General features: G+C 50.4%; 1 protein-coding gene and 1 long non-coding RNA gene across 8 annotated transcripts in view, besides 8 other annotated features; one reads left to right on the top strand and one right to left on the bottom strand.

The window, feature by feature from the left end:
- Positions 1 to 6,374, bottom strand: part of PKNOX1 (PBX/knotted 1 homeobox 1) — a 59,370-nt gene extending 52,996 nt beyond the window's left edge. For 5 of the 7 annotated variants that reach the window (XM_047440826.1, XM_047440828.1, NM_004571.5 and 2 more), the window contains exon 1: positions 6,272 to 6,374. The gene's annotated coding sequence lies outside the window, so the exon portion shown is untranslated. Of the gene's footprint in view, positions 1 to 5,660; positions 5,796 to 6,271 lie in introns of those variants that run through there. The other 2 variants (XM_047440829.1, XM_047440830.1) reach the window with 2 other exon arrangements.
- Positions 4,849 to 5,575: an enhancer, noted in NCBI's record as "H3K27ac hESC enhancer chr21:44395471-44396197 (GRCh37/hg19 assembly coordinates)". NCBI's record gives its function as "activates a minimal SCP1, AML or CMV promoter by ChIP-STARR-seq in naive H9 embryonic stem cells {active_cell/tissue: H9 hESC(naive)}" and the evidence as "EXISTENCE:reporter gene assay evidence [ECO:0000049][PMID:30033119]".
- Positions 5,537 to 5,736: a silencer, noted in NCBI's record as "silent region_13358". NCBI's record gives its function as "represses an Ori minimal core promoter by ATAC-STARR-seq in GM12878 lymphoblastoid cells {active_cell/tissue: GM12878}" and the evidence as "EXISTENCE:reporter gene assay evidence [ECO:0000049][PMID:35858748]".
- Positions 5,877 to 6,196: a silencer, noted in NCBI's record as "silent region_13357". NCBI's record gives its function as "represses an Ori minimal core promoter by ATAC-STARR-seq in GM12878 lymphoblastoid cells {active_cell/tissue: GM12878}" and the evidence as "EXISTENCE:reporter gene assay evidence [ECO:0000049][PMID:35858748]".
- Positions 6,327 to 6,716: a silencer, noted in NCBI's record as "silent region_13356". NCBI's record gives its function as "represses an Ori minimal core promoter by ATAC-STARR-seq in GM12878 lymphoblastoid cells {active_cell/tissue: GM12878}" and the evidence as "EXISTENCE:reporter gene assay evidence [ECO:0000049][PMID:35858748]".
- Positions 7,027 to 7,186: a silencer, noted in NCBI's record as "silent region_13355". NCBI's record gives its function as "represses an Ori minimal core promoter by ATAC-STARR-seq in GM12878 lymphoblastoid cells {active_cell/tissue: GM12878}" and the evidence as "EXISTENCE:reporter gene assay evidence [ECO:0000049][PMID:35858748]".
- Positions 8,698 to 9,457: an enhancer, noted in NCBI's record as "H3K27ac-H3K4me1 hESC enhancer chr21:44391589-44392348 (GRCh37/hg19 assembly coordinates)". NCBI's record gives its function as "activates a minimal SCP1, AML or CMV promoter by ChIP-STARR-seq in primed H9 embryonic stem cells {active_cell/tissue: H9 hESC(primed)}" and the evidence as "EXISTENCE:reporter gene assay evidence [ECO:0000049][PMID:30033119]".
- Positions 12,916 to 13,416: an enhancer, noted in NCBI's record as "H3K27ac hESC enhancer chr21:44387630-44388130 (GRCh37/hg19 assembly coordinates)". NCBI's record gives its function as "activates a minimal SCP1, AML or CMV promoter by ChIP-STARR-seq in naive H9 embryonic stem cells {active_cell/tissue: H9 hESC(naive)}" and the evidence as "EXISTENCE:reporter gene assay evidence [ECO:0000049][PMID:30033119]".
- LOC124905024 (uncharacterized) lies at positions 15,417 to 16,298 on the top strand. Its single transcript, XR_007067883.1, has 2 exons — positions 15,417 to 15,833; positions 16,122 to 16,298. It is a non-coding gene; the product is annotated as an uncharacterized LOC124905024 (long non-coding RNA).
- Positions 20,522 to 21,371: an enhancer, noted in NCBI's record as "OCT4-NANOG-H3K27ac hESC enhancer chr21:44379675-44380524 (GRCh37/hg19 assembly coordinates)". NCBI's record gives its function as "activates a minimal SCP1, AML or CMV promoter by ChIP-STARR-seq in naive H9 embryonic stem cells {active_cell/tissue: H9 hESC(naive)}" and the evidence as "EXISTENCE:reporter gene assay evidence [ECO:0000049][PMID:30033119]".

The following is a 22,746-nucleotide window of genomic DNA, read 5'->3' as shown; positions in this document are numbered from 1 at the left end:
TGGATAGGCTGAGAGTAAATCAACTTGGTATTTGTGAACATGAATGATAAAAGGCAAAAACTTCTAGCTGAAATGTAGCACTCCTTCAATTACAAAGGCAGACAATAAGCCCTGGAGTTTTAGCAGGAACAGCAACAGGTATTTTCCAAAGCATTAGAGTGTCACAAAAAATCTCGTCACTACTCCCAAATGAATTACCAGAGCCACAGCTCAATCCGGTTACTAAGCTAATAAATGGGACTATCACCAATTTGGTTCAATACAGTATTTTAATAACTGTATTTCAAAATAATTTGTTCTCTTCTTCATCTATTTATTTCCTTTAAAGTGCTGTTAAGAGGCCCCCAGAGGCCAAGCAAACGTGAAAATTTAAGACGCCCCCTCTCCCACCAGAGTCTATACTTTGCATCACTTTAGCAGTTTCAGGCTGTCCTTCTAAACAGTTTCAGACACTTTTAACAATTTGCAACAAAAGTGTAAGCCGCAAATAGGATGTTACTTCTCATAAGTAGCACCTTTCTATTTCTGCTATTTACAAGTAGTATTTTTTTTTCTCTTTTTTCGGACATGGAGTCTTGCTCTGTCGCCCAGCCTGAAGTGCACTGGAGCGATCTCAGCTCACTGCAACCTCCACCTCCTGGTTCAAGTGATTCTCCTGCCTCAGCCTCCCGAGTAGCTGGGGATACAGGCTCCTGCCACCACACCCAGCTAATTTTGCATTTTTAGTAGAGACAGGGGTTGCCCCATCTTGGCCAGGCTGGTCTCAAACTCCTGACCTCAGGCAATCCACCCACCTCGGCCTCCCAAAGCGCTAGGATTACAGGTGTGAGCCACCGCACCTGGCCTCACAAGTAGTACTTTTCTAAAGTTACTGCCAGAGAAACGTTAACTACATATAGAGTACAGGAATCCCAACAAAATGCATTGTACTCAGTATCATTACCACAGAACCTGCTGGCACTTAGATCATAAGCGCAGAAGGTTAATCTTTGAAACAAGTCATACTTCACTGACCATGTTTCATCAATTCTAAGGCACACTTTTAAATGTCTGAAGTGAAAAGCATCCTTCACTGATGGGGTAAGAAAGCAGCGTGCCAGAAGGCACTGGGAGCATCTGTAGTGGTATAACACACTGCTGCATTTTAGATTCAACAGACTATAAGCACCTCATTTTTCTTTTTTCTTTTTTTCTGAGATGGAGTCTCGCTGTGTCACCCAGGCTGGAGTGCAGTGGCGCGATCTCGGCTCACTGCAAGCTCCGCCCCCTGGGTTCACGCCATTCTCCTGCCTTAGCCTCCCAAGTGGCTGAGAATACAGGTGCCCGCCACTACGCCCAGCTAATTCTTTGTATATTTAGTAGAGACGGGGTTTCACAGTGTTAGCCAGGATGGTCTCGATCTCCTGACCTCGTGATCCACCCGCCTCGGCCTCCCAAAGTGCTGGGATTACAGGCGTCAGCCACTGCGCCTGGCTATAAGCACCTCATTTTACCTTTTATTGTGTTTTGCTTTATTGCACTCAGCAGGTACTATGTTTTTCACAAGTTGAAGATCTGTGGCAACCCTGTATGAAGAAAGCAAGCCTATTGGTGCCAATTTTCCAAAAACAGGAGCTCACTTTGTGTCTGTGTTACATTTTGGTAATTCTTCACTATTTCAAACTTTGTCATTATTATGTCTGTTACGGGGATCTGTGATCAGTGATCTTTGATGTTCAGGTCAGGAACAGTGATTCATATGGGTAATCCCAACACTTCGGAAGGACGAGGCAGGAAGGCGGCTTGAAAGGATTCACCATTCTGGAAAGGAACTTAAGAGACAGCCGAGGCAACATAATGAGACCTCACTTCTACAAAACTTTTTCAAAATTAGCTGGGCATGCTGGCACATCCCTGTAGTCCCAGTTACTCAGGGGGCTGAGGTGGGAGAACCACTTTAGCCCAAGAGGTCAAGAGTGCAGTGAGCTATGATCTCACCACTGCATCCCAACCTGAGCAACAGAATGAGACCCTGTCTCTCAAAAACATAGCCAAGGCCAGGAACAGTGGATCATGCCTGAGGCTGAGGCAGGAGGACCACTTGAGGCCAGGAGTTTGAGACCTGCCTGGATAACATAGGGAGACTTCATCTCTTTAAAAAAAAACAAAAAAGGGCTGGGTGCGGTGGCTCATGCCTGTAATCCCAGTACTCTGGGAGGCCAAGGTGGGTGGATTATTTGAGGTCAGGAGTTCAAGACCAGCCTGGCCAATACGGCGAAACCCTGTCTCTACTAAAAATACAAAAATTAGCCGGGCGTGGTGGCTCACGTCTGTAGTCCCAACTACTTGGTAGGCTGAGGCAAGAGAATCACTTGAACCCGGGAGGCAGAGGTTGCAGTGAGCCAAGATCGCGCCACTGCACTCTAGCCTGGGCGACAGAGCGACTCCATCTCAAAAAAAAAAAAAAAAAGAAAAGAAAAGAAAAAAACAAGTTAGCCAAGTTGTAAATGCAAAGCAGAAGTTTCTTTCCAATTTTTGAAATTAAAAAAATACATACACAAATTTTTGAAATTTTAAATCACCTCTCAGAACAAAGGAAAACTTAAAGGCAATTAAAAAGTGCTACTCCAGTGAACACATGAATAAGAAAATGGCCAGGTCCGTTGGCTCACACCTGTAATCCCAACACTTTGGGAGGCCAAGGCGGGCGGATCACTTGAGGTCAGGAGTTCGAGACCAGCCTGGTCAACATGGTGAAACCTTACCTCTACTAATAATACAAAAATTAGCTGGACACATGCTGCACACCTGTTATCCCAGCTACTCGGGAGGTTGAGGCAAGAGAATTGCTTGCACCCAGGAGGCAGAGGTTGCAGTGAGCCATGATCATACCACTGCACTCCAACCTGGGCAATAGTCTCAAAAAAAGAGGGAGGGAGGGAAAGAAAGTGAAACAGCCTTATTGGTGATATGTGGAAAGTATGAGTGGTCTGATTAGATCAAACCAGCCACAACATTCCCTTAAACTGAAGCCTAATCGAGAACCAGGCCCAAGTTTTCTTCAATTCTATGAAGGCTGAGAGAGGTGAGGAAGATGCAGAAGAAAAGTTGGAGCCAGGCACGGCAGCTCACCCCTGTAATCCCAGCACTTTGAGAGGCTGAGGCAGGTGGATCACCTGAGGTCAGAAGTCCCAGCCTAGCTAACATTTAGTAGAGCCCGTCTCTACTAAAAATACAAAAAATTAGCTGTATGTGGTGGCAGCTGCCTGTACTCCCAGCTACTACGGAGGCTGAGGCAGGAGAATCGCTTGAACCCGGGAGGTGGAGGTTGCAGTGAGCCGAGATCACGCCATTGCTCTCCAGCTTGGGCAACAAGAGTGAAAATCCATCTCAAAAAAAAAAAAAAAAAAAAAAAAAAAGTTGGAAGCAGCAGAGGCTGGTTCATGAGGTTTAAGGAAAGAAGCTGTCCCCATAACACGAAAGTACAAGGTGAAGCAGCAAGTGCTACCTAACAGAAAAGCAACACCAGGTTATCCAGGTCTAGCTAAGATCATTGATGAAGGCAGCGAGACGAAAAAGCAGATTTTCAATATAGACAAAAGACTTCCTTTGGAAGGAGATGACATCTAGGACTTTCATACCTAGAGAGAACTCAGTGCTTAGTTTCAAAGGGCAAGCTGGCTCTCTTGTTAGGGGCAAATGTCACTGGTGACTTTAAGCTGAAGCCAGTGGTCTTTGACCATTCTGAAAATCCTAGGGTTCTGAAGAATTATGTTACGTCTACTCTTGCCTGTGCTCTGGAAATGGAATAACACATTACTGAATATTTTAAACCCACTGTTGAGATCCACTGCTCAGAAAAAGATTTCTTTCAAAATATTACCGTTCACTGACAATGTACCTAGTCACCCAAGGGCTCTGATGGAGATGTACACAAGGAGATGAATGCTGTCTTCATGTCTGCTAACACCACATCCATTCTGCAGCTATGGATCCAAGGAGTAATCTTGACTTTCAAGTCTTAATTATTTAAGAAATACATTTTGTAAGGCTATAGCTGTGGTAGTGATTCCTCGCATGAATCTGGGCAAAGTAAACTGAAAACCTTCTGGAAAGAATCTGCCATTCTAGATGCCATTCATGATTCATGGAAGGAAGTCAAATAACATTAACAGGAGTTTGGAAGAAGTTGATTCTAACCCTTATGATGACTTGGAGGAGTTCAAGACTTCAGTGGAGGAAGGAACTGCAGATGTGGTGGAAATAATGAACAGTTGCTTCTTACGGATGAGCAAAGAAAGTGGTTTCTTGAAATGGAATTTATTCCTAGTGAAGACGCTGTGCACATTGTGGAAATGACAACAAAACATTTGGAATATCACATCAACTTAGTGGATAGCAGTGGCAGAGTTTGAGAATAGCCTCCAACTTTGAAAGAATTTTCACTGTGGTTAAAATGCTATCAAAACAGCATCACATGCTACAAAGAAGTCTTTCATGAAAGGAGGAGTCCATCAATGCAGTAAATTTCACTGTTGTCTTATTTTAAGTAACTGACACAGCCACCACCACCCTGATCAGTCAGCAGCCATCCACACTGAGGCCAGATTGTCAAAGTATAAAACAAGCAGGACTCACTAAAGGCTCAGATGATCATTAGTATTTTTAGCACTAAAATATTTTTTAATTAACGTAAGCACATTTTTATAGATATAATGCTTGCTATTGCACACTTTAAGTAGTATACTGTAATTACAACTTTCATATGCACTGAAAAACCTAAAACTGTTGCGTCACTTGCTTTACTGCAATACTTATTTTACTGCGGTGGTCTGGATTAGAACTCGAATTATCTGAGGTACGCCTGTGTACAAGGACAGGATTCACAAATCACTCTAAGTAAATTAAGCAGAGTGATGAAAGGCTCATTGGGGTCAGCCTGCCATCTTCCAAATTATGACTAAATGCAAGAGCATCACCAATAACTATACTGGCAGAGGTTCACATTTCACCTCGATTCTTCCTTATGTTTAGAGAAAGCCTATTTTTCAGTATGCCAGGAAAAATCATGAAAGTAGACCTAACTAAAGCTGGGGGTTTCTTTCATCCTGAAGAGGAACCACTTCCTAAGGAAAAATCATCTACTGTTTTAAAAAGCAAACTCTCGTAGAGTTGGAAGAGAACCCCACACACAGGTGGAACACCCCCCAGGGCTGCGGCCCCGCCGTGGCGCTCAGCCTGGCCTGCCCTGGGCCCGACCTCAGGACGCCGCCATTCCCGGACCCTCGGGCCTCCCGTCAGGAATCCGCCATCGGAACGGAGGCCCTAACTGGTCCCGTCGCAGAGCCACTGTCCAAATAAGGCATTTCGAGAGCCACGAGGATGACATAAAGCAGACTCCGCGTTTCTTCATTTTTCGTTAAGTGACACGATTTCCCTCACAAGGAAGGTGCAAACCCACAGGGCGCCCAGACCCTGCCCGGCACTTCCTGTCATCCATTACCACGACCCGTGTGACAGAAGCGGCTCTTCCCACCAATTCCCGGGACGCCGGAACCGCTTCCCCAGCACCCGGCCCCAAACACTGCCGTCAGCGAGCGGCCCTGGGCTGCTCCCGCGCCGGCGCCCGGCTGAGGGCCACGAGCCCCATCACGCCCACCGCCCCCAGGACCCCGACCCACCCGCTCGCCACGGCCGAGGCCGGGGCCGGGGTCGCGGCCGCCATCTTCCCGCCTGCGCCGCCGCGCGCCCCGCACCCTCCGAGCAGCCCCGCCGGCCCTGAGGACTCCGCGAGGCCGCGGACCCGACCGGCCCCACGCGCGCCGCCCGCCCCGGCCCCGCCCCGCCGCGCGCCCCCGACCCTCACGCCCGCCGCCCCGCCCGCGCCGGGCTCCGCGCGCCCCCGCCCCGCGCCGGGGCGCGCGCCGCACTCCGAAAGGGACGGTTAGGAGCGCGCGCTTCGATCAGGCCCAGCGCGGCGGCGGCGGCGCCTTCCAGAAATTTCCGCGTCCCTCAACCCACACTAAGAAACCAACTGGGCGCGCCCCCGCGCCGGTTGGGCTGAAGGCGCCCCCTCCCCCGCGGGTGCCCGCTCCCCTCCCCCACCCGCGCCCCCTCCCCGCCCCCTGCCCCGGGCGGCGGGTCAAATGCGGGCCCTCGAGGGCAGCGCCGGCCCTCCAGACCCGGGCGGCAGCGGCGGCGGCGGGCGGCGGCCGCGGGCCGGTGTGATTGATAGGGACGGCGGCGGCGAGAGCGGCGGCGGCGGCGGCGGAGCGGTTGAGTGACAGCTTACCTGGGTGCCAATCTTCATCACACTGACAAGCGGCTGCAGCAATCGGGACCCGCAGTGCCGCGCCCGCGTCCAACCGTCACGCCGACGCTGGGCCACGCGACACAGCCTCGCTCAATGGGAGGAGGGCGACGCCGACGCGCGCCGCATCAATATTCAGAGAGGGGGCGGGGCCTGCCGGAGACGGGCCCCGCCCCTCCCTGCGCGGCGGCGGGCGCGGGGCGGGGCCTGATCGCTGGGGGAGGAGAGCGAGGGCGGGAACCGGGCGGTGGCCGGCCCCGCCTCCAGCCCCGCCCGCACCCGGAGCTAGGCCGTGCCCCCAACCGGCCGCGCCCGAGCGCGAGGAGCTGTCTGCCCCGCCCCGAAGGCAGAGCCTCCCGCCTTATGACTATGCAGTAGGGGCGTGGCCTCAGCGCACGTCTTGCCCCCTCCGCGCCCTCGGTTGCCGCCCAGGAGAGGTGTGTGTAGCCGGGCGAAACCATTTGCCTCGAGCAGGCGGGGAGGGAGGGCTGTACCATCCGTAACCCCACCGCCGGGCGTCCCGTAGCCGAAGGCCTCCGTTCTGTGTGTGCCCGGTTTGAATGTAAGCCCGTGGGAGCCTCGCAGCCTTCCTCCCCAGGCTCTGGAGCCCGGGTGGGCCCGTCCTGGGCGGCACAGTGGATGCTCACGTGCCTCCCCCCCTGCGGCAGCGCGAGTGCTTAGCACCTGAGGCTTTACCCTGGGGGCTGTCTTCCCTCTGTGAGGACCCCAGCAAGGACTCATGATGTCCACAGGTGCTTAGGGGTGGCCTCTGGGCTACTTGGCCTCGCTTGACCACACCTTCCGGCCCAGGTGAGCCTTGCGGGTCTAGGTGACCAATGCGGCCTCCAGGTAAAGGGCACCTGCCTTAGGGGACGCCCACAAGTGTCTGCATTTCAAACTGCTTTGAAAGACCACCCTAACCGACCACTGCCACAATGTACCCACAAGTGCAGATGGTGGCTTTGGTCTCCAAGATGTAAGGAAAGGGCGACACATTCCCCACTGCGTAGGAAAGCACACGGTTTGCCTGACTGGCCTTCAATACTGCAGAAACATCCATTTATGCAGTGGCCCACCGAAGGCCATCAGTGCCTTGAGTCCATACACAGCGCGGGAAGGGCAGCTCTGTGGGCCCCCACTCCTCCCGGAAGGCAGACAGGCCCAGGACTGGAGCTGATTGCTAGAGGGAGCCTGGGGGTAGGTCTAGGCATGAACAGCTCGGAGGACATCCCTCCTGTGTCTTCAGAGCTCCACACCGCCAGGAGGTCTTGGCCAAGTGCTGTGCAGCTGCAGAGCCGCCTCTTTCAGAAAGATGGGAAGCAGCAGGGTGGGCAAGAGGGAGGCCCTGAGATACTTGCCCAAGGAGGGAAGTTCAAGGGGACAAAAAAAGCTCAGTATTCAAGACTGAGCATAATCTGCAGAGCCTAGTGCAAGATCCAGATGCAAGTGTCAATAGGTGTTGGAACAGAGAGACTCCACATGGGCTGGGTAAACTGAAGCTGAGACCTGCTGGGCCGCACCCCCCAGGAGTTAAGGCGTTCTTAGTAATCGGATGAGATAGGAGGTCGGAACAAGACACAGGTCACAAGGATCCTGCTGATAAAACAGGATGCAGTAAAGAAGCCGGCCAAATCCCACCAAAACCAAGATGGCGGGGAAAGTGACCTGTGGCCTTCCTCACTGCTGATTATACACTAATTATAATATATGAGCTTGGTAAAACACACTCTCGCCAGCGCCATGACAGTTTTCAAATGCCATGGCAACGTTTGGAAGATACCCTACATTGCCTAAAAGGGGTCGGGCGCAGTGGCTCACGCCAGTAATCCCAGCACTTTGGGGAGGCCAAGGCGGGCAGATTACTTGAGGTCAGGAGTTGAGACCAGCATGGCCAATATGGTGAAACCCCATCTCTACTAAAAATACCAAAAAATTAAGCAGGCGTGGTGGCATACACCTGTAGTCCCAGCTACTTGGGAGGCTGAGGCAGGAGAATCGCTTGAACCTGGGAAGCAAAGGTTGCAGTGAGCCGAGATCACGCCATTGCACTCCAGCCTGGGCAACGAGCAAGACTCCATCTCCAATAAATAAATAAATAAATGGAAGAGGAAGCCTAAGTTCTGGGAATTCCCCACCACTTTCCCAGAAAACTCATGAATAATCCACCCCTTGTTTAGCACGTGATCAAGAAATAACCAATATAATTCAGGAACGGATTCTAGGGAAAAAAAAAAGGACCATAAAAATAGCCAACCAGCAGCCCTTGGGGCTGCTCTGCCTATGGAGTAGCCATTCTTTGGTTTATTTACTTCTCTAACAAACTCACTTTCACTTTACTCTGTGGATTCTCCCTGAATTCTTTCTTGTGTAAACTCCAAGAACCCTCTCTTGGGATCTGGATTGAGACCCCATTCCAGTAAGACAAAGTCCCTGGCTCAGAAATTACAGTGAAGAATTTCAAGGCAGTGACAGCAGAACCTTACCCCAAGCCTGGGCCCTTCTCAGCAGGGGCAGGGGCCCTGTGACATGCTGTTCAGGCCCCTGGAAGCAGCCCGGGGCTCACTGGCCACACCTACACCTGCCCCCGGTCTGAAGCTTTCATTTATTTGCATCTGGCCTGTGAGACAGCAGGAGTTCCACAGGAGGACCTGAGCGCATGGTCACCCAGAGCCCAGGAAGCAGCTGCAGCAAGTCCAGGGCAGACAGAAGCCCAGGCCCTGCCATCCCACTCTGGGCCCAGAAGACTCTGGGGTCATCAGCTAGGTGCCTTCTCTGCCAGCTGCTTTGCCGTTTCACCCACCATGAGCGGCCACCCTTCTTTTTCTTCATTTCTGAAGTCTGTCTTCAGAAAAGGGGGAAAGGCCGGGATGTGTTGCCAGAAAGGGGGTCTTGATCCAGACCCCAAGAGGGGATTCTTGGATCTTGAGCAAGAAAGAACTCAGGGCAAGTCCATAAACTGAAAGCAAGTTTATTAAGAAAGCAAAGGAATAAAAGAACAGCTACTCCATAGGCCCACCAGTGGCGTGGCTGCTCAGTTGCTTATACTTTTTGTTTGTTTGCTTGCTTGTTTTTCTTTCCTGCCCTGCCTTCCTCCCCCGGCAGCTTATACATATATTGTTAGCTCTTGATTATATGCTAAACACAGGGTGGGTTATTCATGAGGTTTCCTGAACAGGGGTGGGAACTGAGGGTTCCTCCCCTTTTTAGGCCATATAGGGTAACCTCCTGCCATTGCCATGGCATTTGTAAACTGTCCTGACAGTGGTGGGAGTGTCTTTTAGCATGCTAATGTATTATAATTAGCATATAATGAGCAGTGAGGACGACCAGCAGTCACTTTCATCCTCATCTTGGTTTTGGTGGGATTTGGCCGGCTTCTTTACCTGTTTTATCAGCAAGGTCTTTGTGACCTGTGTCTTGTGTCCTCCTATCTCTCCCTGTGACTAAGAATGCCTTAACCTCCTGGAAACGCAGCCCAATAGGTCTCAGTCTTATTTTACCCAGTCGCTATTCAAGATGGAGTCGCTTTGGTTCAAATGCCCCTGACAGATGCACTATCAGTAGTCTCCTCCTCCAGGGATGGGCAAAGTTTGCTGGGCCCTGAAACTTGCATACTGTGAGGAGTCTTTAGGAAAATAATTCAAAGTGAGGTAGGTATGGGGCTTTAGAGGGGGTGAAGACTCATTTGCTTCCCTGTGAATCCACCTTTGCCTCCAACCACACCTGTGTGGCCATGGGGGCCCTCTTCCCGGTGTTGAGCACCGAAGTGGTTTCTAAAGAAAAAAAAACAGACCGGGCTCAGTGGCTCACGCCTGTAATCCCAGCACTTTGGGAGGCCGAGGTGGGCGGATCACGAGGTCAGGAGATCGAGACCATCCTGGCTAACAGGGTGAAACCCCCTCTCTACTAAAAATACAAAAAATTAGCCGGGCGTGGTGGCAGACGCCTGTAGTCCCAGCTACTCGGGAGGCTGAGGCAGGAGAATGGCGTGAACCCAGGAGGCAGAGCTTGCAGTGAGCAGAGATCGCGCCACTGCACTCCAGCCTGGGCGAAAGAGCAAGACTCCGTCTCAAAAAAAAAAAGAAAGAAAAAAAAACAGGTACATTTTAATTCAAATAAGCAGCCATTCTATTTTCTTTACAACATGTTTTCTATAATATTTGTTAATTTTTTTTTTTTTGAGATGGAGTCTTGCTATATCACCCAGGCTGAAGTGCACTAGCATGATCTTGGCTCACTGCAGCCTCTGCCTGCTGGGTTCAAGCAATTCTTCTACCTCAGCCTCCCAAGTAGCTCAGATTACAGGTGCCCGCCACCATGCCCAGCTAATTTTTGTATTTTTAGTAGAGGCGGGATTTCACCTTGCTGACCAGGCTGGTCTCAAACTCTTGGCCTGGGCAACATGGTGAAACCCCGATTCTACTAAAAATACAAAAATTGCCAGGATCAGTGGCTCACGCCTGTAATCCCAGCACTTTGGAAGGCCGAAGCGGGTGAATCACGAGGTTAGCAGTTTGAGACCAGCCTGACCAACATGGTGAAACCCCTTCTCTACTAAAAATACAAAAAAATTAGATGGGCATGGTGGCAGGCGCCTGTAATCCCAGCTACTTGGGAGGCTGAGGCAGGAGAGTCACTTGAAATCAGAAGGTGGAGGTTGCAGTGAGCCGAGATTGCGCCACTGCGTTCTATTCTGGGCAACAAGAGCAAAACTCTGTCTCAAAAAAAAAAAAAAAAAATACAAAAATTAGCTGGGTGTGGTGGCAGGCGCCTGTAATCCCAGCTACTTGGGAGGCTGAGGTGTTGTGACCAAGCGAGTTATAGAGAAACGCCACACTTTGAGACAAATTAAAGAGTCCTTTATTAGCCGGCAACCAAGAGGCAGCTAACGCTCAAAATTCTCTCGGCCCCGAGGAAGGGGCTAGTTTTGTTTTTATACCATGGTCTAAATAGGGGAGGGGGATTTTAGCTGAAACAATTTTTACAGAAGCAGAACTGGCAAAAAATTAAAAAATTAATTGGTTACAAATGCAGTTAAAAAAATAAACAGTTCCAGGTGCAGGGGCTTAAACTATCACAAAGAGATAAATGCAGGGGTTTTGGGTGCCATCCACCGTGCTCATCCCCAGGAGCTGCTAGTGCGGCTTGCCTCACTATCTTATCAGTAGGTGCATTCCTGGACGTGCTTAGAGTCAGTTTACACTAGCTACGCCTTAAGGGAGGGAGGTGAAAGGGGGCTGCCAATGAAGAAACTAAAATGGAGTCTGTCTGGCTCTCTCTCTCCTAGGAGAGGGTCACTCAGGTTAAAACAAGGTAGGGTATCACAGAGGCATGAGAATTGCTTGAATCCAGGAGACAGAGATTGCAGTCAGCCGAGATCATGCCACTGCACTCCAGCCTGGGGTATAGAGCGAGACTCTGTCTCAAAAAAAGAAAAAGAAAGACATGACTAGACTGGGTGCAGTGGCTCATTCCTGCAATCCCAGCACTTCAGGAGGCGTGAGGCCAGGAGTTTGAGACTAGTGTGGGCAATATGGTGAGACCCCCCCACTGCCCCCTGCACACACCCATCCTGGTCTCTACAAAAGAAGAAAAAAATTTTTTTTTTTGTGACCGAGTCTTGCTCTGTCGCCCAGGCTGGAGTGCAGTGGCGCCATCTCGGCTCACTGCAAGCTCCGCATCCTGGGTTCACACCATTCTCCTGCCTCAGCCTCCCGAGTAGCTGGGACTACAGGCGCCCGCCACCGCGCCCGGCTAGTTTTTTGTATTTTGTTTAGTAGAGACGGGGTTTCACCGTGTTAGCCAGGATGGTCTCGATCTCCTGACCTCGTGATCCGCCCATCTCGGCCTCCCAAAGTGCTGGGATTACAGGCGTGAGCCACTGCACCCAGCCGCAAAAAAAAATTTGTAACTAGCAGGTGTCATGGTGCACACCAGTAGTCCCAGCTACTTGGAAGGCTTGAGAGCATGCCACTGCACTGAAGCCTGGGCAACAGAGTAAGACCCTGTCGCAAAAAAAAAAAAAAAAAAAAAAAAAGGAGAAATACGTGAGGCGTATGAAGAAGACCAACTCCATCTTGAATAGGAGCTGGGTGAAATGAGGCTGAAACCTACTGGGCTGCATTCCCAGACAGTTAAGGCATTCAAAGTCACAGGATGGTATAAGAGGTCAGGACAAGATACAATACAAGTCATAAAGACCTTGCTAATAAAACAGGTTGCAGTAGGCCGGGCACGATGGCTCACGCCTGTAATCCCAGCACTTTGGGAGGCCGAGGAGGGTGGATCATGAGGTCAGGAGTTCAAGACCAGCCTGGCCAAGATGGTGAAACTCCGTCTCTACTAAAAATACAAAAAATTAGCCGGGCGTGGTGGCACACGCCTGTAATCCCAGCACTCACTTGTGAGGCACAGGGAATAAAGGTAGCAGTAACCCAGATGGGGCACAGCACACACCAGAGCTACGGTACATGGGGGAGTATTTGAAAATGACACTGGAGGAACTTGAGTTGTTCTTAAAGGATGATTAGGATCTGAGAGGCTTCACTGAGAAAAATGAACGAGAAGCCACTGAAAACTAGGGCGCTGATTTCGGCTCGCTGTAGCCTCCGCTTCCTGGGTTCAAGCAATTCTCCTGACTCAGCCTCCTGAGTAGCTGGGATTACAGGTGCCCACCACCACGCCTAGCTAATTTTTGCATTTTTAGTAGAGACAGGGTTTTGCCATGTTAGCCAGGCTGGTCTTGAACTCCTGACTGACCTCAGGTGATCCACTCGCCTCGGCCTCCCAAAGTGCGGGGATTACAGGCCTGAGCCACCACGCCTGGCCCTCATCTGCTTTTGATTTTGCATAGAGTTCATTCTCACACACTGCTCCAATGTCTCATACATCTCATGCCAGGAACTGTTCAATATTTTTTTCTTTTTTGAAACAGAGTTTCCCTCTTGCTGTCCAGGCTGGAGTGCAATGGCGCGATCTTAGCTCACCACAACCTCCGCTTCCTGGGTTCAAGCGATTCTCCTGCCTCAGCCTCCCGAGTAGCTGGGAATACAAGCATGTGCCACCACACTCGGGTAATTTTGTATTTTTAGTTGAGATGGGATTTCTCCACGTTGGTCAGGCTGGTCTCGAACTCCTGACCTCAGGTGATCCACCCACCTCGGCCTCCCAAAGTGCTGGGATTATAGGCATAAGCCACTGCGCCCAGCTGGAACTATTCAAATATTGTATTAGTGTGCACTCTAATTAGTCTCCAAATCACTCAAGTTTATTAACTGATAAAAGCCAATTCTAGGGCTGGGCACAGTGGCTCACTCCTGTAATCCCAGCACTTTGGGAGGCTGAGGTGGGTGGATCACCTGAGGTCAGAAGTTCAAGACCAGCCTGGCCAACATGGTGAAACCCCATCTCTACTAAAAATACAAAAATTGGCCGGGTGCGGTGGCTCATGCCTGTAATTCCAACACTTTGGGAGGCTGAGGCAGACAGATCATGAGGTCAGGAGTGAAACCCCATGTTTGTAAAAATACAAAAATTAGCTGGGCGTGGTGGCACATGCCTGTAATCCCAGCTGCTCAGGAGGCTGAGGCAGGAGAATCATTTGAACCCGGGAGACGGAGGTTGCAGTAAGCCGAGATCACGCCACTGCACTCTAGCCTGGACAACAGAGTGAGACTCTGTCTCAAGAAAAACAAAAACAAAAAAATTAGCCAGACGTGTTGGCACACACCTGTAGTCCCAGCTACTCGGGAGGCTGAGGCAGGAGAATCACTTGAACCTGGGAGGTGGAGGTTGCAGTGAGCTGAGATCATGCCATTGCACTCCAGCCTGGACAACAAAGCAAGACTCCATCTCAAAAAAAAAAAAAAAAAATTAGCCAGGTATGGTAGCACGTGCCTGCATTCCCAGCTACTGGGGAGGCCAAGGCAGGAAAATTACTTGAACCTGGGAGGCGGAGGTTGCAGTGAGCCGAGATCTCACCATTGCACTCCAGCCTGGGTGACAGAGAGACACTCTATCTCAAAACAAAACAAAACAAAACAAAATTTAAAAAATAGCTGGGTGTGGTGGTGCATACCTGTGGTCCCAGCTACTTGGGAGGCTGAGATGGGAGGATTGCTTGAGCCCCGGGGGGCACAGGTTGTAGTGAGCGCAGATCACACCATTGCACTCCTGGTTAGGTGACAGACTAAAAAGCTGAGACCCTGTCTCAAAAAAAAAAAAAAAGCCCAGCGGGGCGCAGTGGCTCACACCTGTAATCCCAGCACTTTGGGAGGCCGAGACAGGCAGATCACAAGGTCAGGAGATCGAAACCATCCTGGCTAACACGGTGAAACCCCGTCTCTACTAAAAATACAAAAAAAAGAGAAAAAATTAGCTGGGCGTGGTGGCGGGCGCCTGTAGTCCCAGCTACTCGGGAGGCTGAGACAGGAGAATGGCGTGAACCTGGGAGGCAGAGCTTGCAGTGAGCCGAGATCGCGCCACTGCACTCCAGCCTGGGCGACAAAGCAAGACTCCGTCTCGGGGGGAAGAAAAGCCAATTCTTCAAAGCTATAATTTTCTTTTTTTTTTTGAAACAGGGTCTCACTCTGTCACCCAGAATGGAGTGCAGTGGCATGATCTCAGCTCACTGCAACCTCTGCCTCCCAAGCTCAAATGATTCTCCTGCCTCAGCCTCCCGAGTACCTGGGATTACAGGCATATGCCACTACCAATGGGCTAATTTTTGCATTTTTTGTAGAGATGGGGTTTCACCATGTTGACCAGGCTGGTCTTGAACTCCTGACCTCAAATAATCCACCTGCCTCAGCTTCCCAAACTGCTGGGATTACAGGCATGAGCCATCGAAACTGGCCTTCTTTTTAATTTTATTTTAATTGAAATTAGATTTTTTTTTCTTTTTTGAGACAGGGTCTCACTTTGTTGCCCAGACTGCAGTGCAGTGGCAGGATCTCTGCTCACTGCAGCCTCATCCTCCCTGCATTCAGGTGACCCTCCCACCTTAGCCTCAAGAGTAGCTGGGACTGCAGATGTGTGCCACCATGCCCAGCTAATTTTTGTATTTTTTTGTAGAGACACGATTTCATCATGTTGCCCAGGTTGGTCTTGAACTCCTGGGTTCAGGGGATCCTCCTACCTTGGCCTCCCAAAATGTAGGGATTACAGGCATGAGCCACTGCGCCCAGCCCAAATATGTAATTTCTCAATGAGGTCAATGAACAGTTGAAACATGATTAACTGGTTGGGCTCCATGGCTCACACTTGTAGTCCTAGCACTTCGGGAGGCCAAGGCAGGAGGACTGCTTGAGGCCAGGAGTTTGGGACCAGCCTGGACAACATAGTAAGACCCGTCTCTACAAAAATAAAAAAATTCCACACACAAAAACTACAGCAACAATAGAGAAATATGATGAGCCCCAGCTCAACAGGGCAAGTCAGCAATGGAAGAGACCAAAGCCTTGGGGAGCCTGGATGGAGACAGCAAGAGAAGGCTCCGGGTCCCTGATGGACAACGGCTGCACCTGAGCCAGGTGTGCTCAGACAGGTGAGGAAGCTCGATGAGCAGGAACTCCAATACGGTGGGGTGTACGGGTGGCACTGGATATGGGGTTACCTGCCCTGGGACAAGATGATACTTCCTGAGCTTTGGGACCTGGGCTGGTTAATTTTATGTGTCAATGTGGCTAGGCTATGGTGCCTGGCTCAGTGGTCACAGAGCACCCTGGATGTGTCTGTGAAGATGTTTTTAGATGGGATTAACATTTTCCTAAGTAGATTTCAGTGAAGCACGTTACCCTCCATAATGTGCGTGGGCCTCATGCATCCATTTAAGGCCTTCAGAGAAAAGACTGAGGTTCCCTAAGAAGGAAGGAATTCTGCCTCCACACTGCCTTTGAATTGGGACTCACGCCGCACCGCCAGCAGCATCTCTTGCTAGAATTTCCAGACTGCCCTGCAAATTTCAGACTTGCCAGTCTCGATTCTTAAAATAAATCTCTCCCTCTCTCACTATCCGTCTATGTACATCTATCTCCATCCTATCGGTTCTGTTTCTCTGGAGAACCCTGACTAATGCAGGATGCATTCCTGTCTCTGGACCCTCACAATGGCATATGCTTTAGTGACATTTACCCACACATGGCACCGTTGCCTGCTTTCCCACTGTGGACACCAAGGCCGCAGTAGGACAATCCTGGAAGGCCCATGGTCCCAGTGACCGCTCACCATTGGCCCTTCCTGGCGGGACTGTGCAGCTAAAATCAGGCACAGAGAAGGGGCCTCCTAGTCCCCGCAGTCCTGCTTCCTACCTGCCCACAGCAGTGCTATGTGGACAGGTTGCTTTCCTGCCTGCACAGGCCCCCCGGGCCTGGACCCTCACTGGAGGGAATGTGCCCCCTCTCAGCTTGGATGAGGAGTGGGGTAGGGGAGAGAAGAGGGAGGGACGGGAGGGATGGTGGGCCCCTCTCCAGGCTACAGAGGAATGCCCAGAGGCAAGGGAGGCGAGCTGGCACGCTGCCTTCTGTGCCCAGGCAGTGCACAGTTAGCACGAAAAGGAGCATCAAGCTGAAAAAACGCCTTTCTCTTCTTGCCCCTCATTCTTGGCTGTTTTCCTAATTGTGCTGAAATGAACGTTTACCATCTCGTGAGATATTTGAGAACACAGTTACTGTTCCTTTTTTTTTTCTTTCTTTCTTTTCTTTTTTTTTTTTTTTTTTTTTTTTGAGACGGAGTCTCCCTCTGTCACCCAGGTTGGAGTGCAGGGGCATGATCTCAGCTCACTGCAACCTCCGCCTCCCAGGTTCAAGCGATTCTCCTGTCTCAGCCTCCTAAGTAGCTGGGATTACAGGCACATGCCACCACACCCAGATAATTTTGGTATTTTTAGTAGAGATAGGGTTTCACCATGTTGCTTAGGCTGGTCTCAAACTCCTGACCTCAGGTGATCCACCAGCCTTGGCCTACCAAAGTGCTGGGACTACACGAGTGATCCACCACGCCTGGCCCTTTCCTTTCTATTTTTAAAAGAGATGGGTTTTGCCATGTTGCCCAGGCTGGTCTCCAACTCCTGAGCTCAGGCAATCTGCCTGCCTCAGCCTCCCAGAGTGCTCGGATTACAGGTATGTGCCACTGTGTCCAGCCAACACAGTTGCTGTTTCTACTACATATTTTCTTTTCTGTCTTTCTTTTTTTTTTTTTTAAGATGGAGTTTTGATCTTGTCACCCAGGGTGGAGTGCAATGTCCTGATCTCTGCTCACTGCAACCTCCATCTCCCAGGTTCCAGCTATTCTCCTGCCTTAGCATCCTGAAGAGCTAGGATTACAGGCATGCACCATCACAGCCAGCTAATTTTTGTATTTTTAGTAGAGATGGGGTTTCACCATGTTGGCCAGGATGGTCTTGAACTCCTGACCTCAGGTGATCCACCCACTGTGGCCTCCCAAAGTGCTGGGATTACAGGCGTGAGCCACCACGCCCGGCCACAACGTATTTTCATTGAGGATAGAAAGAAGCTTGCGGGGCCAATTTTTACACAAAAATTAGCTGGGCATGGCGATGGGCACCAGCTACTCTGGAGGCTGAGGCAGAGAATTGCTTGAAACTGGGAGGCGGATTTTGCAGTGAGCCAAGATCACACCACTGCACTCCAGCCTGGGCGACAGAGCAAGATTCCGTCGAAGAGAAGGGAAGGGAAGGGAAGGGAGGGGAGGGGAGGGGAGGGGAGGGGAGGGGAGGGGAGGGGAGGGGAGGGGAGGGGAGGGGAGGGGAGGGGAAGGGAAGGGAAGGGAGAAAAGAAAAGAAAAGAAAAAAGAAAGAGAAGCTTGTGGGCTTGGTCTGGACAGGGTGCCTCCCTTGGTGGCCGTGTCAGCTGCCTCTCTTGCTTCCTGCATGTGTGACTGGATACATATACTAGGATACTGGATACATATACCCTTCTTACATATACTAGGAATACTGTCCCTACCTCCACATATCCTAGCATCTACAAGTAAGTGCACTTTTGTGTATGTGCAATTATCAGTCAGGATCAGTGGAAAGATTAAGGAACAGAATGCATTCATGGAATTCTAGAGATGGGAGAAATCTCTCCAGCTCCTTTTACATGGGAGAAAACCACTGGGCGTGTTCAAGACAGGCTCCAGGCCCAGGTCTTCATCCCGCCAGAGCTCTTCTCTTTTAACTGTGTAGGGGAAGGAAAATTGCTCATTTTATTCTACCCTTCCAGGTTCTCACTGGGGACCCTGCTACAAAAGACAAATTAACAGGGGAAAGATGGATGTTTATTAGCATGTATCTCTCAGGGATAATGGAGAAACTCAGGGATGAGTAAATTTAAAGAGGTGACATAGAATTTGGGCTTCTATCCCAGCCCTTTTGAAACCACCTTTGCAAAAATTATAAGTGAGGCAATCATTACAGTGAAAGACATCTGGCCTAACTAAGTCCATCTTGCTTCTAACCTCCAAGCTGTCCTTGTTTGTTCCTGGGTGGAGGCCGAACTAACTCTGGGAGGAACTTAGTTTATGGTTTAGCTTTGAAACAAAGACGATAGAGCCCTTTCCCTAAACACATCCCCTTCCTACCTGGGGACTAGATTGCCTTTGCAGGACTAACAAATTAGCCACAAAATTAGAAATTATTGTTTAGGAGTCTTGCAGCTGGAGGCTGCAAAATTGCTCCTAGGGATCACATCACTACTGTCAAACCTCAGATCAGCGCTTGAGATATTTTGCAGACCCTGCACTCGATGGATCAGCTGACACCACTCCTACCGATAAACTGGCTCATGGGGTCTTCTGACCCCCTCCCAGGAACCAAGTCAGCCCAAGAGGACAGCCTCAACTTCCTGTAATTTCATCTCCGACCTGACAAATCAGCACTCCTGACCCAACGGCTCCCTACCCACCAAATTATCCTTAAAAACTCTGGGCCAGGCACAGTGGCTCACGCCTGTAATCCCAGCACTTTGGGAGGCCGAGGCGGGCAGATCACGAGGTCAGGAGATGGAGACCGTTCTGGCTAACACGGTGAAACCCCGTCTCTACTAAAAATACAAAAAATGAGCCGGGCATAGTGGTGGGCGTCTGTAGTCCCAGCCACTTTGGAGGCTGAGGCAGGAGAATGGTGTGAACCCAGGAGGCGGAGTTTGCAGTGAGCCAAGATCATGCCACTGCACTCCAGCCTGGGTGACAAAGCAAGACTCCATCTCAAAAAAAGAAAAAACAAAACAAAAACTCTGATCCCCAGTCGGGCACGGTGGCTCATGCCTGTAATCCCAACACTTTGGGAGGCTGAGGCATGTAGATCACTTGAGGTCAGGAGTTCAAGACTAGCCTGGCCAACATGGTGAAACCCCGTCTCAACTAAAAATACAAAAATTATCAGCCTGCCCAATATGGCGAAACCTCGTCTCTACTAAAATAAAAAAATTAGCTGGGCATGGTGGTTGGTGCCTGTAATCCCAACTACTCGGGAGGCTGAGGCAGGAGGATCACTTGAAGCTGGGAGGTGGAGGTTGCAGTGAGCCGAGATCACGCCATTGCACTACAGCCTGGGGGACAGAGCAACACTCCATCTCAAAAAAAAAAAAAAAAGGCCAGGCGCAGTGGCTCATGCCTGTAATCCCAGCACTTTGGGAGGCCGAGGTGGGTGGATCACCTGAAGTCAGGAACTCAAGACCAGCCTGGCCAACATGGCGAAACCCCGTCTCTACAAAAATACAAAAATTAGCCAGGCATGGTGATGGTGTGCCTGTATCCCAGCTACTTAGGAGGCTGAGGCGGGAGAATTGCTTGAACCCAGGAGGCAGAGGTTGCCGAGATCGAACCATTGCACTCCAGCCTGGGTGACAGAGTGAAACTCTGTCCCAAACAAACAAACAAACAAACAAAAAACACCTCTGATCCCGAAATTCTTGGGTAATTTTGAGTAATCCGAGTAATAATAAAACTCTGGTCTCCCACATAGCTGGCCCTGGTAAATTGCTCTTTCTCTATTTCAGTTCCCCTGTGTTGATAAATCAGCTGTCTAGACAGCAGGCAAGGTGAACTCGTTGGGTGGTTATATTTTGGGAGGCTGAGGCAAGTGGATCGCTTGAGCTGAGGAGTTCCAGACCAGCCTGGGCAACATGGCAAAACTCCATCTCTATAAAACATACAAAAAGAAAGTTAGTGGGGCGTGGTGGTGCACACCTGTAGTCTGAGCTACTAGGGAGGCTGAGGTAGGAGGATTGCTTGAGCCTGGGAGGCCGCAGTGAGCTGTGTTCGCGTCACTGCACTCCAACCTGGGCGACAAAGTGAGACCCTGTCTTAAAAAAAGAATTTTGAGGCTGGTCGTGGTGGCTCATGCCTATAATCCCAGTACTTCAGGAGGCCGAGGTGGGTGGATCACCTGAGGTCAGGAGTTCGAGACCAGCCTGGCCAACATGGTGAAACCCCGTCTCTACTAAAAATACAAAAATTAACCAGGCGTGGTGGCACATGCCTGTAATCCCAGCTTCTCGAGAGGCTGAGGCGGGAGAATTGCTTGAACCTGGGAGGTGGTGGTTGTGATGAGCCAAGATCACACCACTGCACTCCAGCCTGGTAACAGAGACAAGACAATGTCTCAAAAGGAAAAAAAAAAAAAAGAATTTGGGCTTAAATACCATCTTCTGCTAAAACAAAAGAAGAAGATGAGGAGGCAGGGTACGGGAAAGTGACCCTCAGGAGAGGAGTGGAGTCAACAAGGGCAGGGTTTGTTATGCGGATGATGTCTCTTGTGATTTAGAATCCTCCTCCTCCTGATATGAAGAGGAAGATGCCGGGACCAATGGAGATTCCTTTATAAATGTAGATTTCCCTTACAAAAGGGTAATTTATACACTGTATCCAGGACTCCTGTGTCTGCTGGCTGTCAAAATAATCAGCTCAAAATAATTCTATGCCGGGCCAGGCGTGATGGCTCACGCCTGTAATCCCAGCACTTTGGGAGGCCGAGGCAGGTGGATCACCTGAGATCAGGAGTTCGAGACCAGCCTGATCAACATGGAGAGACCCTGTCTCTACTAAAAATACAAAATAGCCGGGCGTGGTGGTGCGTGCCTGTAATCCCAGCTACTTGGGAGGCTGAGACAGGAGAATCGCTTGGACCCAGGAGGCGGAGATTGCGGTGAGCCAAGATCACGCCATTGCACTCTAGCCTGGGCATACAGAGCAAGACTCCATCTCATAAAAAATAAGAATAATAATAATAATAATAATAATTCTATGCCAAGAGGCACATTTGGAGTGGCATATTCTGGTCGGCTACAGAGGGGTGTACCCTTGCACTACTTTCGGTATGACAGGACCACAAAGTCTCGCCTGATAAAGATCTTTACAGGCTTAACAGCTTGATGGAAATAACACCATTAGCTCAGCTTTTGCTGCTGTGACCTTAACAGGTCGGTTGCCTGATGCACAAGTCCAAACACCGATGGAGGGTTCCAGCAGAGAGAGAGAGGTGTCGTCCTAATGCTGCGGAATGCCTAGAGGAGAGGACACCTCAAAGCAGCTTCCCTCAGGAGTCTGGGGCTGGGGATCTTAAGAGGTTTGAAGTGGACCAAGGTGTGGGCATCACTGATTGGTCGAAAAGCACAGGTTGGAGACAGACACCTGGATTCTCATGTTGACTTGGTTACTCTGCGAAGGGGCTTTAAACTGTCTAGTGTCAGCCATTCTGCTGGAATTCAGAATCTGGAAAACATCTTAAGCAATTCTTTTTTTTTTTTTTGAGACGGAATCTTGCTCTGTCCCCCAGGCTGGAGTGCAGTGGCTCATTGCAAGCTCCGCCTCCTGGGTTCATGCCATTCTCCTGCCTCAGCCTCCCGAGTAGCTGGGACTACAGGTGCCCGCCACCACGCCTGGCTTTTTGTATTTTAGTAGAGACGGGGTTTCACCGTGTTAGCCAGGATGGTCTCGATCTCCTGAGCTCGTGACCCGCCCACCTTGGCCTCCCAAAGTGCTGGGATTACAGGCGTGAGCCACCGCGCCCAGCCCCCCACCCCCCCCTTTTTTTTTGAGACAGAGTTTTGCTCTTGTTGCCCAGGCTGGAGTGCAATGGTGCAATCTTGGCTCACCACAACCTCCGCCTCCCAGGTTCAATCGATTCTCCTGCCTCAGCCTCCTGAGTAGCTAGGATTACACGCACGTGCCACCACACCCAGCTAATTTTGTATTTTCAGTAGAGACGGGGTTTCACCATATTGGCCAGGCTGGTCTCAAACTCCTGACCTCAAGTGACCCACCCACCTCATTCTCCCAAAGTGCTGGGAGTACAGGCATGAGCCACCACACCCGGCCTACATCTTAAGCAATTCTTAAACGAAAGCCTTATGATTCTAACGTCAGAGATCCTATCTGTGGGAACAATAGGGGTGCAAATTGTCAGTATCTATGGCTAGGGGACTTTCAGTTACAAGAAAGTGGGCTAAAGTGCA

The sequence above is a fragment of the Homo sapiens genome, chromosome 21 (assembly GCF_000001405.40).
Source record: "Homo sapiens chromosome 21, GRCh38.p14 Primary Assembly".
NCBI lineage: Eukaryota > Metazoa > Chordata > Mammalia > Primates > Hominidae > Homo > Homo sapiens.
Note: the sequence above shows the minus strand (reverse complement) of the source record. Positions and strands in the feature narration are given on the sequence as shown.